This window comes from Homo sapiens, chromosome 5 (assembly GCF_000001405.40).
Source record: "Homo sapiens chromosome 5, GRCh38.p14 Primary Assembly".
Classification (NCBI taxonomy): domain Eukaryota; kingdom Metazoa; phylum Chordata; class Mammalia; order Primates; family Hominidae; genus Homo; species Homo sapiens.
The window spans coordinates 132582162-132594260 of record NC_000005.10 but is presented as its reverse complement, the minus strand read 5'-3'; the positions used below and the strand labels follow the sequence as shown (position 1 = coordinate 132594260).

The window sequence follows — 12099 nt, the reverse complement described above, 5'->3', positions numbered from 1 at the left end:
GTATTCAGCATATTTTTTAAAAATGAAACAGAATAGACGGTAATATATTGGAGTAGGCTGTATGTATATGTACTACTTTGAGAAATTTGTTTCAGATAAATGTGTGTGACTGCACACATGCTTCTTCATCATGACTACCCATCCTGAGTCACAGTAAACATTTGGAAAAAAGTAACTAATATGATGATATTTTCATTATCCTAGACTCCCTTGAGCACTTCTCATCAAGATCACCAGTGACCTAAGTGCCAAGTACAGTCTTCATCTTACTCTACCTCTACGTAGCACCAAACACTGTTGACCTTCTCCTTGAAGACTATTTTCCCAAGGCACCTAGACACCACAGCTATCTGGCTCTCACCCTGGTTCCCTGGGCACATCCCAGTTTCCTTCACTTGCTCCTTTTCCTTTGCCTGCTAACATTTTAAATGTTTGTGCTTCCCAGGAATCTAATTGTAACTCCTTCCCTTTGCATAACTCTCTCAAGGTGACATACTAATGACTTTGAGTATCCCTTACATAGCAACAACTTCCAATCTCCTGAATTTCAAACTCCAATATTGTATTCCCTCACAGATACTTCCACAAGAAACACAGATTAAACACCACCAAAGCCAAGTCCTTCTACTTTCCTCAAAAATCTGTGTGGAATTTTTGACCCGCTTATCCAACCACTATCCAAGGTAACATCTGAGAAACATGATCACTTTTTATAATGGATTACTCACAGAAATGAAAATAGAATTTTTAAATTTTAATCTTCATAGGTCTACAAATTTTCAAGGGACAAGAGGCCTAAATTACTATCCGTTACCATTTTACTTAATTTGCAAAATATGAGGGGTCTTCAAAATGTTCATGGAAAATGTGTATTATAAAAAAAACTATGCATGAAGTTCAAAATGTTTTGCACTGAAACAAACTCATACTAACTTGTTATAACATGTCTGAATAGGATCTAGTTTAAGGCACTAACAAGGTTAAGACATCAGTTTGAAAAGAGCCCCAATTAAACTGAAGCAAGAACAAGTATCAAATTTATGGTGAAGTGTGGGTGGAAGAATGGTGAAATCATTGATACTTTACAACAAGTTTATGAGATCAATGCCCCAAACAAATCAGCAGTTTACAAATGGATAACTCAGTTTAAGAAGGGATGAGACGATATTAAAGATGAAGCCCACAGTGACAGACTGTTCACATCAATTTGTGAGGAAAAAAAATCATCTTCTTCATGCCCTAACTGAAGAAGATCAATGATTAACAGCAGAAACAATAGCCAACACCATAGACACCTCAATTGATTCAGGTTACACAATTCTGACTGAAAAATTAAAGTTGAGTAAACGTTCTACTTGATGGATGCCCAAAATCACTGCTTCCAGATCAGCTGCAGACAACAGCAGAACTTCCTCAATAAGTGGGATCAAGTTCCTAAAGCATTTCTTCAAAGAATTGTAACAGGAGGTGATGGAATGTGGCTTTACCAGTACAATCCTGAAGACAAAGCACAATGAAAGCAATGGCTAACAAGTGGTGGAAGTGGTCCAGTCAAAGCAAAAGCAGACCAGATAAGAGCAAAGGTCATGGCAACAGTTGTTGGGGATGCTCAAGGCATTTTGCTTGCTGACTTTCTGGAGGGCCGAAGAAAGGTAACAACTGCTTATTATGAGAGTGTTCTGAGAAAGCTAGCCAAAGCATTAGCAGAAAAATGCCCAGGAAAGCTTCACCAGAGAGTCCTTTTCCACCACAACAATGTTCCTGCTCATTCCTCTCATCAAACAAGGGCCATTTGCAAGAGTTTCGATGGGAAATCATTAGGCATCCACCTTACAGTCCTGATTTGGCTCCTCCTGTCTTCTAGTTTCTTAATCTTAAAAAAATCTTTAAAGGGCACCCATTTTTATGCTAGCAATGTAAAAAAGACTACACTGACATGGTTAAATTCCCAGGACCCTCAGTTCTTTAGGACTGAACTAAATTGCTGGTATCACTGCTCAGAAGAGTCTTGAACTTGATGGAGCTTATGTTGAGAAATACAGTTTATTTAAAATTTTTATCTTTTAATTCCATTTTTCCATGAACTTTCTGAAGTCTCCTTGTATGTAAGAACTAAAGTTTATCAATATAACATACCATTTCATGACAATAAATTATTTTAAAACAATTAAACAGGTAAGCATGAAATAAGAGATTTCTATTACATCTCCAAATGTTGCAACTTACTTCAATTTGGCAAGTCTGTCCCTGGTCTGATTAATTTCTTTTGATTTACTATGTAGCCAGTCTTCAAGCTGTTTTTTGTTGGGAAAATATCCCAACAGTGAGGTTAATTCATCACTGTGCCTAGATTTTATTTTTCTGATTTGTTCATCTTTGTCAGCCTATAGGTAAAAAAAAAATCTTTTAAAAATAAAGTCTATATCTCCACATTATATCAAGAACAAAAATAAATTCTAGACTGACTAAAGTTCTAAGCTTAAAACTATAAAAATATGAAAATAAAATATAAAATTTCTTAAAGTTCTTAAAGTCTTCAAGTGGGGATGGTCTTTCTAAGCCTTAAGAGTGGAGTACCAAGTCGAACAATATAAAATTTTAAAATTTGTGTATGTTAAAAGTTAACAGTAATGTGCATGTGTGTATATACATATATATACATTTCTGTATTAACTTTTTGTAATTAAACAATAACTTTTAAGCTTGAAAGTCTATTATATAGAGTACTAAGCTCACTTAGCCTCTAAAATATAGTCAATACCAACTTAATACCTTATAGTCTATGACTTATGAGTGCAAGGTAGGCTATTTTAAGTACCAGACAGTATAATTAGAACAAAAAGAAAAATCATACTTTGTCTTTGGTCAGCATCTCCATTTGGGTACGTGTTGTTGTATGATGGTTTAACTGCTCCATCTCCTGGTCAAGTTTACGCAGGGTCCTGTCTAAGTCTGCTTTTTCATTTTGGAGACTTATTACTTCCATTTTTAAGGTTTCTACATTGCTGTTTTTCTCAGCCTTGCTTAACTCACGTTCCTAGTCAATAATTCATACAAATGCAAAGGTGTTATATATTTTGTGCAAGAATTAAAATAATGACAAAGTGTATTAGAAATTAACTACTCCTCAGAATGTTCCAAATATTACTGTTTGCATCCAACAAGAGAAAAAAACATAAGGCACTATATATGCTCTAAGGTATATCTTATTAAAGTGACCTTACTATGTTATAATGGTAGAGAATTAGTAAATAAACCTAGAAGGGTCAAACAGGAAAGAAATGTGAGAATTACTGTAAAATTAGGAGACATGTGTCTAAGTACACAGATTAGTGAGTCCTCAGTCAACAATTAAATATTTATTATGTCCCCATGTAATTCACTATATTGCCTGGTATGTAGAAACTATAAAAATAGTGTGATGTGGTCCCTGACCAAGTATCTCCCCACCCCAACAAGACAACACTGATGAAGTGCTAAACTGACAAAAATGTATGCTACAATGGTGAGTTATGGAGCAAAAATAAATGTTTACATAAATTATCAAGATGGGCTTTAAGAAGTTTGCCATGCTTTAGAATGCTTACTTTGGTAATGGAGATGTGAAGAAGGAGGACAGACTAGAAGCAAGAAAGAAAATATGGAAATACCTGAAAAGATTGGCTAAGAAAGTTTTTAACACAGAAAAAGTAATAATACAGCAAAAATCATCTAGAATTACAACGTGTGTGACCTAGAGGAAAAATACTTGCTTTTTTAAAACTTTGGCAAGTGTTCTTTTTCTTTTTTTTGAGATGGAGTCCCACTCTGTCACCCAGGCTGGAGAGCAGTGGCGCAATCTTGGCTCACTGCAACCTCTGCCTCCCAGGTTCAAGCGATTCTCCTGCCCTGGCCTCCCAAGTAGCTGGGATTACAGGCACACGCCACCACGCCCAGCTAATTTTTGTATTTTTAGTAGAGACGGGGTTTCACCATGTTGGCTGGACAGGTCTTGAACTCCTGACCTCACGTTATCTGCCTGCCTTGGCTTCCCAAAGTGCTGGGATTACAGGTGTGAGACACCGCACCCGGCCTGGTAAGTGTTCTTAATCAAGGTGCTCATAAGAATTAGCCAGTTTTGTTGTGTTTTGAATGTACATTTCTATGCCCCATTCTCAGAGATTTTGATTTGGAAGGTCTGAAGCTTTAAGGTCTGAGTACAGTATCTTTAAAAAGCTCCCTATGTGATTCTAATTTTCAGGCTATCGGGTTGTAGAACCAAAGAGTCAGAAGATCAAGATATTCAGATGAATTCATTTTACATGAGAATAAGACAAAGTTGATGTTTTTATTAAAATGCTATAATCTTAGGATCAAAAATAGACAAAATACTTCTAAAAGTATTATATCTTAAAATTATTAGATTATTCAAACAATATCTTACAGCTTTTATGAGCTCCTGGTCCAGTTCAAGAATCCTGTCTGAAGATCCTTCCAACTGCTGTAATTCATACTTCACATTTTTCAGCTCATTCTGCTTCTTACTTAGGATTTCTGATTTTAACTCAATTATTCTTCCCAGTCCAGTTTTCTTATCTCTTATCTCATCTATCTGTTTTTGTTTCAGAGTCTCTTTTTCTGCAAAGTCATTCTAAATGCATATGTAAAGAATGAGCATTAATAATTTACTAAACAATTTAAGTTTTTTAATTGCAAAAGGAATATATGTACACTGAAGAAAATACAAAAAAGTACAGTCGTGTGTTGCTCAGCAGGGATATATTCCAAGAAATGCATCATTAGGCAATTTTATCATTGTGTGAACATCAGAATGTATTTACATAAGCCTACATGGTATAGTTTAATACACACATAGACTATATGGTATAGCCTATTGTTTATGGGCTACAAACCTATACAGCATATTACTGTACTGAATACTTTGGCAACTGTAACATGATGATAAGTATTTATGTATCTAAACATATCTAAACACAGAAAACATACAGTAAAATACAGTATTATAATTTTATGGGACCAATGTCAAATATGTGGTCTATCACTGACCAAAACATGTGGTTCAAGACTGTATTTTAAAAACAATCAAAACCATTACCCAGAGATAATCATTAACTGTGAGCAAATGTTTTCTCTGCAATTAGTTTTTAAAAATTTTTACTTAAAACCAAATAAAAAATGTAGGTTTACATTTTCTTCATATTTTTATCTTTATACACTTAAGAACATTTGCTTCAATAAAGGTTTTTCTGCCTTGTAGCAGATTTTATCCTAACACTAATAGAAAAATATGCCAAAATGGAGTCCAACCAAAAATTAAAACAATTCAAGTAGAGAATATGATGCAAACAAAATAACAAATACTGTATTTCAAAATACTTGCCATCAGTTGGTTGGCAGTTTTTGCTTCCCCTTCTTGTCTCTCTCTCACAAGTTTGTGAAAATTTTTAATCTGTCTTTCACTGAATGGTCCACGCTCAAAGCCATCCAATTCTAGCTGTGTTGCCAAAGACTGAATTAATGAATCTCTAGCTCGGATATGTTCTTGATGGCGATCTGCTTGCAGCTGTAGACGACCTTTTAAAAAAAAAATCTCATAATTTTTTTTTCAACTGGTGCTTAAAAAGTTGAGATAGCTGCAGATTCACGAGTTATAAAAAATAATGCAGTGTGTCTCTTGTACATTTTGCCCAGTTTCTCCCAATGATAACATTTTGCAAAACTGCAGTAAAATATCACAACCAGAATACTGATATTGATATAATTCATCAATCTTATTCAAATTTCCCCAATTTTATTTGTACCCCTGAGCATGTGGATGTGTGTATATTAAGTTCTATATAATTTTATCACCTGTGTCGGTTCATATATCCACTATGGCAGTCAAGATACTGAACAGTTCCAATACTACAAGGACTCTCTTTTTGTTCTAATCATAACCATACCTAGCTCCCTCCTGTCCTTTCTCTTACCCAGTATCCCTGGCAACCACTAATTTCTCCACTATTTCTAAAATTTTGACATTATAAAAATGTTATATAAATGGAAACATACTGTGTATAGCCTTTTAAGATTGGCTTTTCACTCAGCATAAGTCCTTGGAGATTCTTCATTCATACAGAAAATGTATAACATCATAGTAGGAAAAACGACCAAATAAACATTTTGTCCTACCCTGTTCAACAAGCAGTTCTGATTTTTCCTGATTGAGAAGCCTAGATTCTTTATTTAGTTTTTCCAGTTCACGATGACAGTCTACCAATTTCCTTTCTTTCTCCCTTACTGTTCTCTGGTGATTGTGATATAAGTCATTTAGTTGCTCATCAGTCCCTTGAAAAACCTGTGTAACACCAAAATAAAAAGCTTTAATGTACAAACATAAGAAAATATGATCACTTTGAGGTATCAAATATAAACCAAACCTTATTCAATATCCTTCATTTTAACATATACATAGAAGTAACAAGATCTGTATTTGTTTTTTTCCAATGTGGATGGCAAAATGGATTCAAATAAAGTTCATTACAATAATCCCAAAATTTTGAAGCAGAACAAAATTCTACCACCACAAACCTTTTCCATTTTCTCTTCCAGTTCACTATTATCTTTCTCCATTTGCTTCTTTCGGCTATCCAAGGCTTTAATTTCATTGTCAAGTTTCATTATTTTAGAGAGATTATGTTCAATTTCTTTTAGACGATTCTGAAAATAAAGAAACATTACATAAATAAAACTCACTATAGCTTACATGGCTGATAGATGAAGACAAGTAAGATACTCCAGGTCCAGGCATTTAGTAAAAGTGATCTCATTTAAGGCTAACAATAACACTGTAGAGCAGGCCTAGAGAAACTGAAGTTCAGAGACATTAAGTAACTTGGCCCAAGTCCTCACAGCTAGTAGAGAGAAGCAGGAATTAAATTCCACTTCTAACTCCAAACACCATGTCCTGTCCTCAACACCTGCCACAAAAGTCATTATTCATTCATTGGGCATTTAGAGTTACTTAATCCTTAAAAAGGTAACTATTTAATGTATTTTTTTAAGTCAGGACTACTGAGAAGGCTAGAAATTCATGGTGAGTTACCAATGCATTCTGAGCCTATAGGCAAATTTACATGAAGAGTATACTTTAATCCAAAGCTTGCTCAACCACAGAGGACTCTGAGCAAGTAAAGTACAACAAGGGAGCTCAGTGGCCTGCTCTGAGGCTCGCTTCCAGAGACAGCTGGTTGCCTCATCTCCCAGGAATACTGGGATCTGGTTCGGGGCATTCTCTTATTGGATGATGCTGGGGATATTCTTCTAGTGTTTGCCTCTATGATTCCAAAACTGACCAACTCTTCTTCTAAGACATTTTTACAACCTACTTTTATTATTATTATTTCAAATGCAGAGACAAGGTCTTGCTATGTTGCCCTGGCTGGAGTGGCTATTCACAGGTGCAATAACAGTGCAATACAACTTGAACTCCTGGGCTCAAGTGTTCCTCCCACCTCAGCCTCCAAGTAGCTGAGACTATAAGTATGTACCACCATGCCCAGCAGAACCTAATTTTAAACTAACATATGAAGTTATTGGAATGCTTAGACAGCAATTGCAAGCTTTCATAATTGCACCAAAATGCATCCTCGACTTTAACATAATTTATTAAAATTATACTAATAGTATAGCTTGTGATTTGTATATGAACGTAAACGTTCATATACAAATGAACCTAAAAACAGAAACTTTGTTTACTTTGTTCCCTAATGTATCCCCAGAACATGCAATAGGTGTTCAATGTTAGCTAAACGAAAGAGAGATTTGAAAAAAATAATTTTACCAAGAGCAACAGTCACAGGTATCACTGATTGAATGTCTGCTATGTTCCAGACACTGTACTAGGTGCTGCTATAAATTCTCTCTAATCCTCACAAAAGTATATACTAAGCAGGAAATTCAAAGGACTTAACTGACTTGTACAAAATTGTATAGTTAAGATTGGGAGACAAGATAACAATAAGATTAGAAGGCAGGGTATCATAATGACTAGGCTCTGGGTGCTAGAAGAAGTGGACATTTGTATGTAAGAAAGTAAACCTCAACTTTTACCTCATATCATATTAAGATTCTGAAATGAAGCATATACTTAATTGTAAGAACTCAAACTATAAAACTTTTAGAGGAAAACACTGAAGAATATTTTTGTGACACTGGGTCAAAGACTTCCTAAATAATAAACAAAAAGTATAAACCATAAGAGAAAAAAGTTTATAAACTGTACCTGATCAAAATTTAAAACTCCTGTCCTCTGAAAAGCAGTTAAGAAATATCTGCAAAACCAATATCTGATAAAGGGCTTGTATCCAGAACATATTTAGAACTCTCTGCCTGGCACTGTAGCTCACACCTGTAATCCCAGCACTTTGGGAGACTGAGGCAGGCTGATTGCTTGAGCCCAGAAGTTTGAGACCAGCCTGGGTAACCTGGTGAGACCTTGCCTCTACAAGTCTCACCGGTGTGGTGAGTGTGTGCCTGTAGTCCCAGCTACGTGGGAGACTGAGGTGGAAGGATCACTTGAGCCTGGGAGTCAGAGGTTGCAGTGAGCCAAGATCACACCACTGCACTCTGGCCTGGGTAAGACAGCGAGACCCTGTCTCAAAAAACAAGAAAAAAAAAAAAAAAAAAAAGAACTCTCACAGCTCAATAATAAAATGACCAATAAATAAATAACATTGAAAAATAGGCAAAAGACTTTTATATTTTACTAACGAAGATATTCAGGTGGCAAATAAATACATGAAAAGATGCTCAAAATCAATAATCAATTGACTGATCAACTAGGAAAACACAAATTAAAAATATAAAGAAATACAACCTCACAATGTCACAATGAGACACTACCACACCCCTACTGTTATGGCTAAAATGAAAAAGACTGACAGTACTAAGTGGGGATGAGAATGCAGAGCAATTACATTCCCATAAATTGTTGGTATATTGTTGGTAGGACTATGAAGTGGTACCAGATGGTACAGCCATCTGGTAACTTATAAGGTTAAACATATATTTACCACACGACCTAGCAACCCGAGTCCTAAAGTTATCCAAAGACCTGTATACAGAAGTTTATAGCAGTTTTATCTGTAACAACCCAAAGCCGAAAACAACTTATTTCTTTTTATTATACTTTAAGTTCGAGGGTACATGTGCACAACATGCAGGTTTGTTACATATGTATACATGTGCCATGTTGGTGTGCTGCACCCATTAACTCGTCATTTACATTAGGTGTATCTCCTAATGCTATCCCTCCTCCCTCCCCCCACCCCACAACAGGACCCAGTGTGTGATGTTCCCCTTCCTGTGTCTGTCCAAGTGTTCTCATTGTTCAATTCCCACCTATGAGTGAGAACATGCGGTGTTTGGTTTTTTGTTCTTGCGGTAGTTTGCTGAGAATGATGGTTTCCAGCTTCATCCATGTCCCTACAAAGGACATGAACTCATCATTTTTTATGGCTGCATAGTATTCCATGGTGTATATGTGCCATATTTTCTTAATCCAGTCTATCATCATTGGACATTTGGGTTGGTTCTAAGTCTTTGCTATTGTGAGTAGTGCTGCAATAAACATACATGTGCATGTGTCTTTATAGCAGCATGATTTATAATCCTTTGGGTATATACCCAGTAATGGGATGGCTGGGTCAAATGGTATTTCTATTTCTAGATCCTTGAGGAATCGCCACACTGACAAATGGGTTCTAATTAAACTAAAGAGCTTCTGCACAGCAAAAGAAACTACCATCAGAGTGAACAAGCAACCTACAGAATGGGAGAACATTTTTGCAATCAACTCATCTGACAAAGGGCTAATATCCAGAATCTACAAAGAACTCAAACAAATTTACAAGAAAAAAACAAACAACCCCATCAAAAAGTGGGTGAAGGATATGAACAGACACTTCTCAAAAGAAGAGATTTATGCAGACAACAGACACATGAAAAAATGCTCATCATCACTGGCCATCAGAGAAATGCAAATCAAAACCACAATGAGATATCATCTCACACCAGTTAGAATGGCGATCAATAAAAATCAGGAAACAACAGGTGCTGGAGAGGATGTGGAGAAAGAGGAACACTTTTACACTGTTGGAGGGACTGTAAACTAGTTCAACCAAAAACAACTTAATGTCCATCAGCCACAGAATGGATGAGGAAAAAAATTATAATACATGCATACAATGGAAGGAATGCTCCTCCACAATAAAAAGGAATGAATTGCCGGGCACAGTGGCTCACACCTGTAATCCCAGCACTTTGGGAGGCCGAGGTGGGCAGATCATCTGAGGTTGGGAGTTCGAGACCAGCCTGACCAACATGGAGAAACCCCGTCTCTACTAAAAATACAAAAAAAATTAGCTGGGTATGGTGGCACATGCCTGTAATCCCAGCTACTTGGGAGGCTGAGGTAGGAGAATTGCTTGAACCTGGGAGACGGAGGTTGCAGTGAGCCGAGATCATGCCATTGCACTCCAGCCTGGGCAATAAGAGTGAAACTCCGTCTCAAAAAAAAAAAAAAAAAAAAGGAATGAATTACTCACACATGCAGCAACATAGATAAATCCCAGACACAAAAGTCTGCATACTGTATGATTCTATATATGTGCCACTCTCTGGAAAAGGCAAAACTATAATGACAGAAAACAAATTAGTGGTTACTATGGATGGGAGCAGGGGAGAGGACTGACTGCAAGGACTTTGAGAGAACTTTTTGGAGTGACTGAAATATTCTACATCTTCATTTTAGTGATGGTTATGCTACTGTATGCATATGTCCTAACTCATAGAATTTATACTCTAAAAAGGGTGGATTTTACCATATATATATTATACCTTAATAAACTTGACTTAAAAAGAAAAAAAGGTATAAACTTAGGAATCAGAGGACTCAAATCCTACCTTTAACCCTTATTTCCACTGTGAATACCTGTACCTCAGTTTTCCTGCCTATACAACCTCACAGTTACTATGGAGTTTACATTATACATTTTAAAGCACTCGGGTTAGTGTTAGGCAGTAAACATTCAATTAATGAGACCATTTGCACCACTTGTGAAAAAAATTCTGTACTCAGAAAATACCTTTTGAGTAGAGTCTAACAAATATAACTGGATGGATACTTAAGAGCAATGAATACTAACAGCTCTACTATGATACTCTACAAAGTGCTCAGTTTCTTTCCATCAGTGTTTTCACTGCCTCTTGGTAGCACAAACATTATGATAATCATCTGGGCTTGGATCTTTCATGACATCTCTACCTGCTTCATTCCTTAAATCCAGCCAGTCACCAGATCCCCTGAATTCCTTCTTTGACATCTGTGTTTTGGTTCTAATCTCAGAGCACAAAACATAGGTTCTATCCCCAGAGTACACACCTAGTAAAAGGAGCTAGGACAAGCAGGCAGACAACAATAACAAAAACAGCCAAGGGTTTAAAGCTTAGGTGCCAGTGTGAAATGAGATAAAAAAAATAGAGCAGCTGGGCTATCAAGTATAGAAGGACCATGAACTTGTGTGCAGAAAAAAAAAGTTAGAAACATATTCCTCTAGCAATTCCCATTTAAGGCAAGAAAGGAAAACAGATCTAAGTAGGCCAAAAAAAGAGGACAGGATATGGTGGGATGGTAATAAAGTAGTTTATGAGAGAGTGAGAGTTCCCGAAGATAAAGGGAATCAGTAAAAATGGGAAAGGATGCATTCTAGTGCATGGTTGAAAGGACGTAGTCTTTTCTGGGAAGGTGATTTGACCCAAACTTTAATTGGGTTCTATGAAGGGAAGAATCTTCACATGTCAGAGCTAAAAAAAAGGACTTTGGAAGTCATCTACTTAATAAACATTTATTGAACCACCTGCTATGTGCCAGGCACTAGGCTAGGCTCTGAGGATACAGAGAAGAATATTAAACCCTTGGAGAATTACTCACAATTAAACACAAACAAGTAAATAAATACCTCAACCTCTGCTACAGCCTTGGTTAGAATCTTGGCACCACTCACTAAATCCTAGGTATTATCATTTAGCCCTACCTTGACATCATTTCCAATATAAATG

General features: G+C 36.3%; 1 protein-coding gene across 1 annotated transcript in view; it reads right to left on the bottom strand.

The window, feature by feature from the left end:
* RAD50 (RAD50 double strand break repair protein) overlaps positions 1-12099 on the bottom strand; it is an 89373-nt gene that overhangs the window by 52089 nt on the left and 25185 nt on the right. Inside the window, exons 6-11 of the mRNA NM_005732.4 lie at positions 6571-6699; positions 6172-6337; positions 5381-5574; positions 4424-4630; positions 2855-3037; positions 2227-2384 (exon numbers count right to left, since the gene is read on the bottom strand). Coding sequence (NP_005723.2) covers positions 2227-2384; positions 2855-3037; positions 4424-4630; positions 5381-5574; positions 6172-6337; positions 6571-6699 — 1037 coding nt within the window. The remainder of the gene's footprint in view (positions 1-2226; positions 2385-2854; positions 3038-4423; positions 4631-5380; positions 5575-6171; positions 6338-6570; positions 6700-12099) is intronic.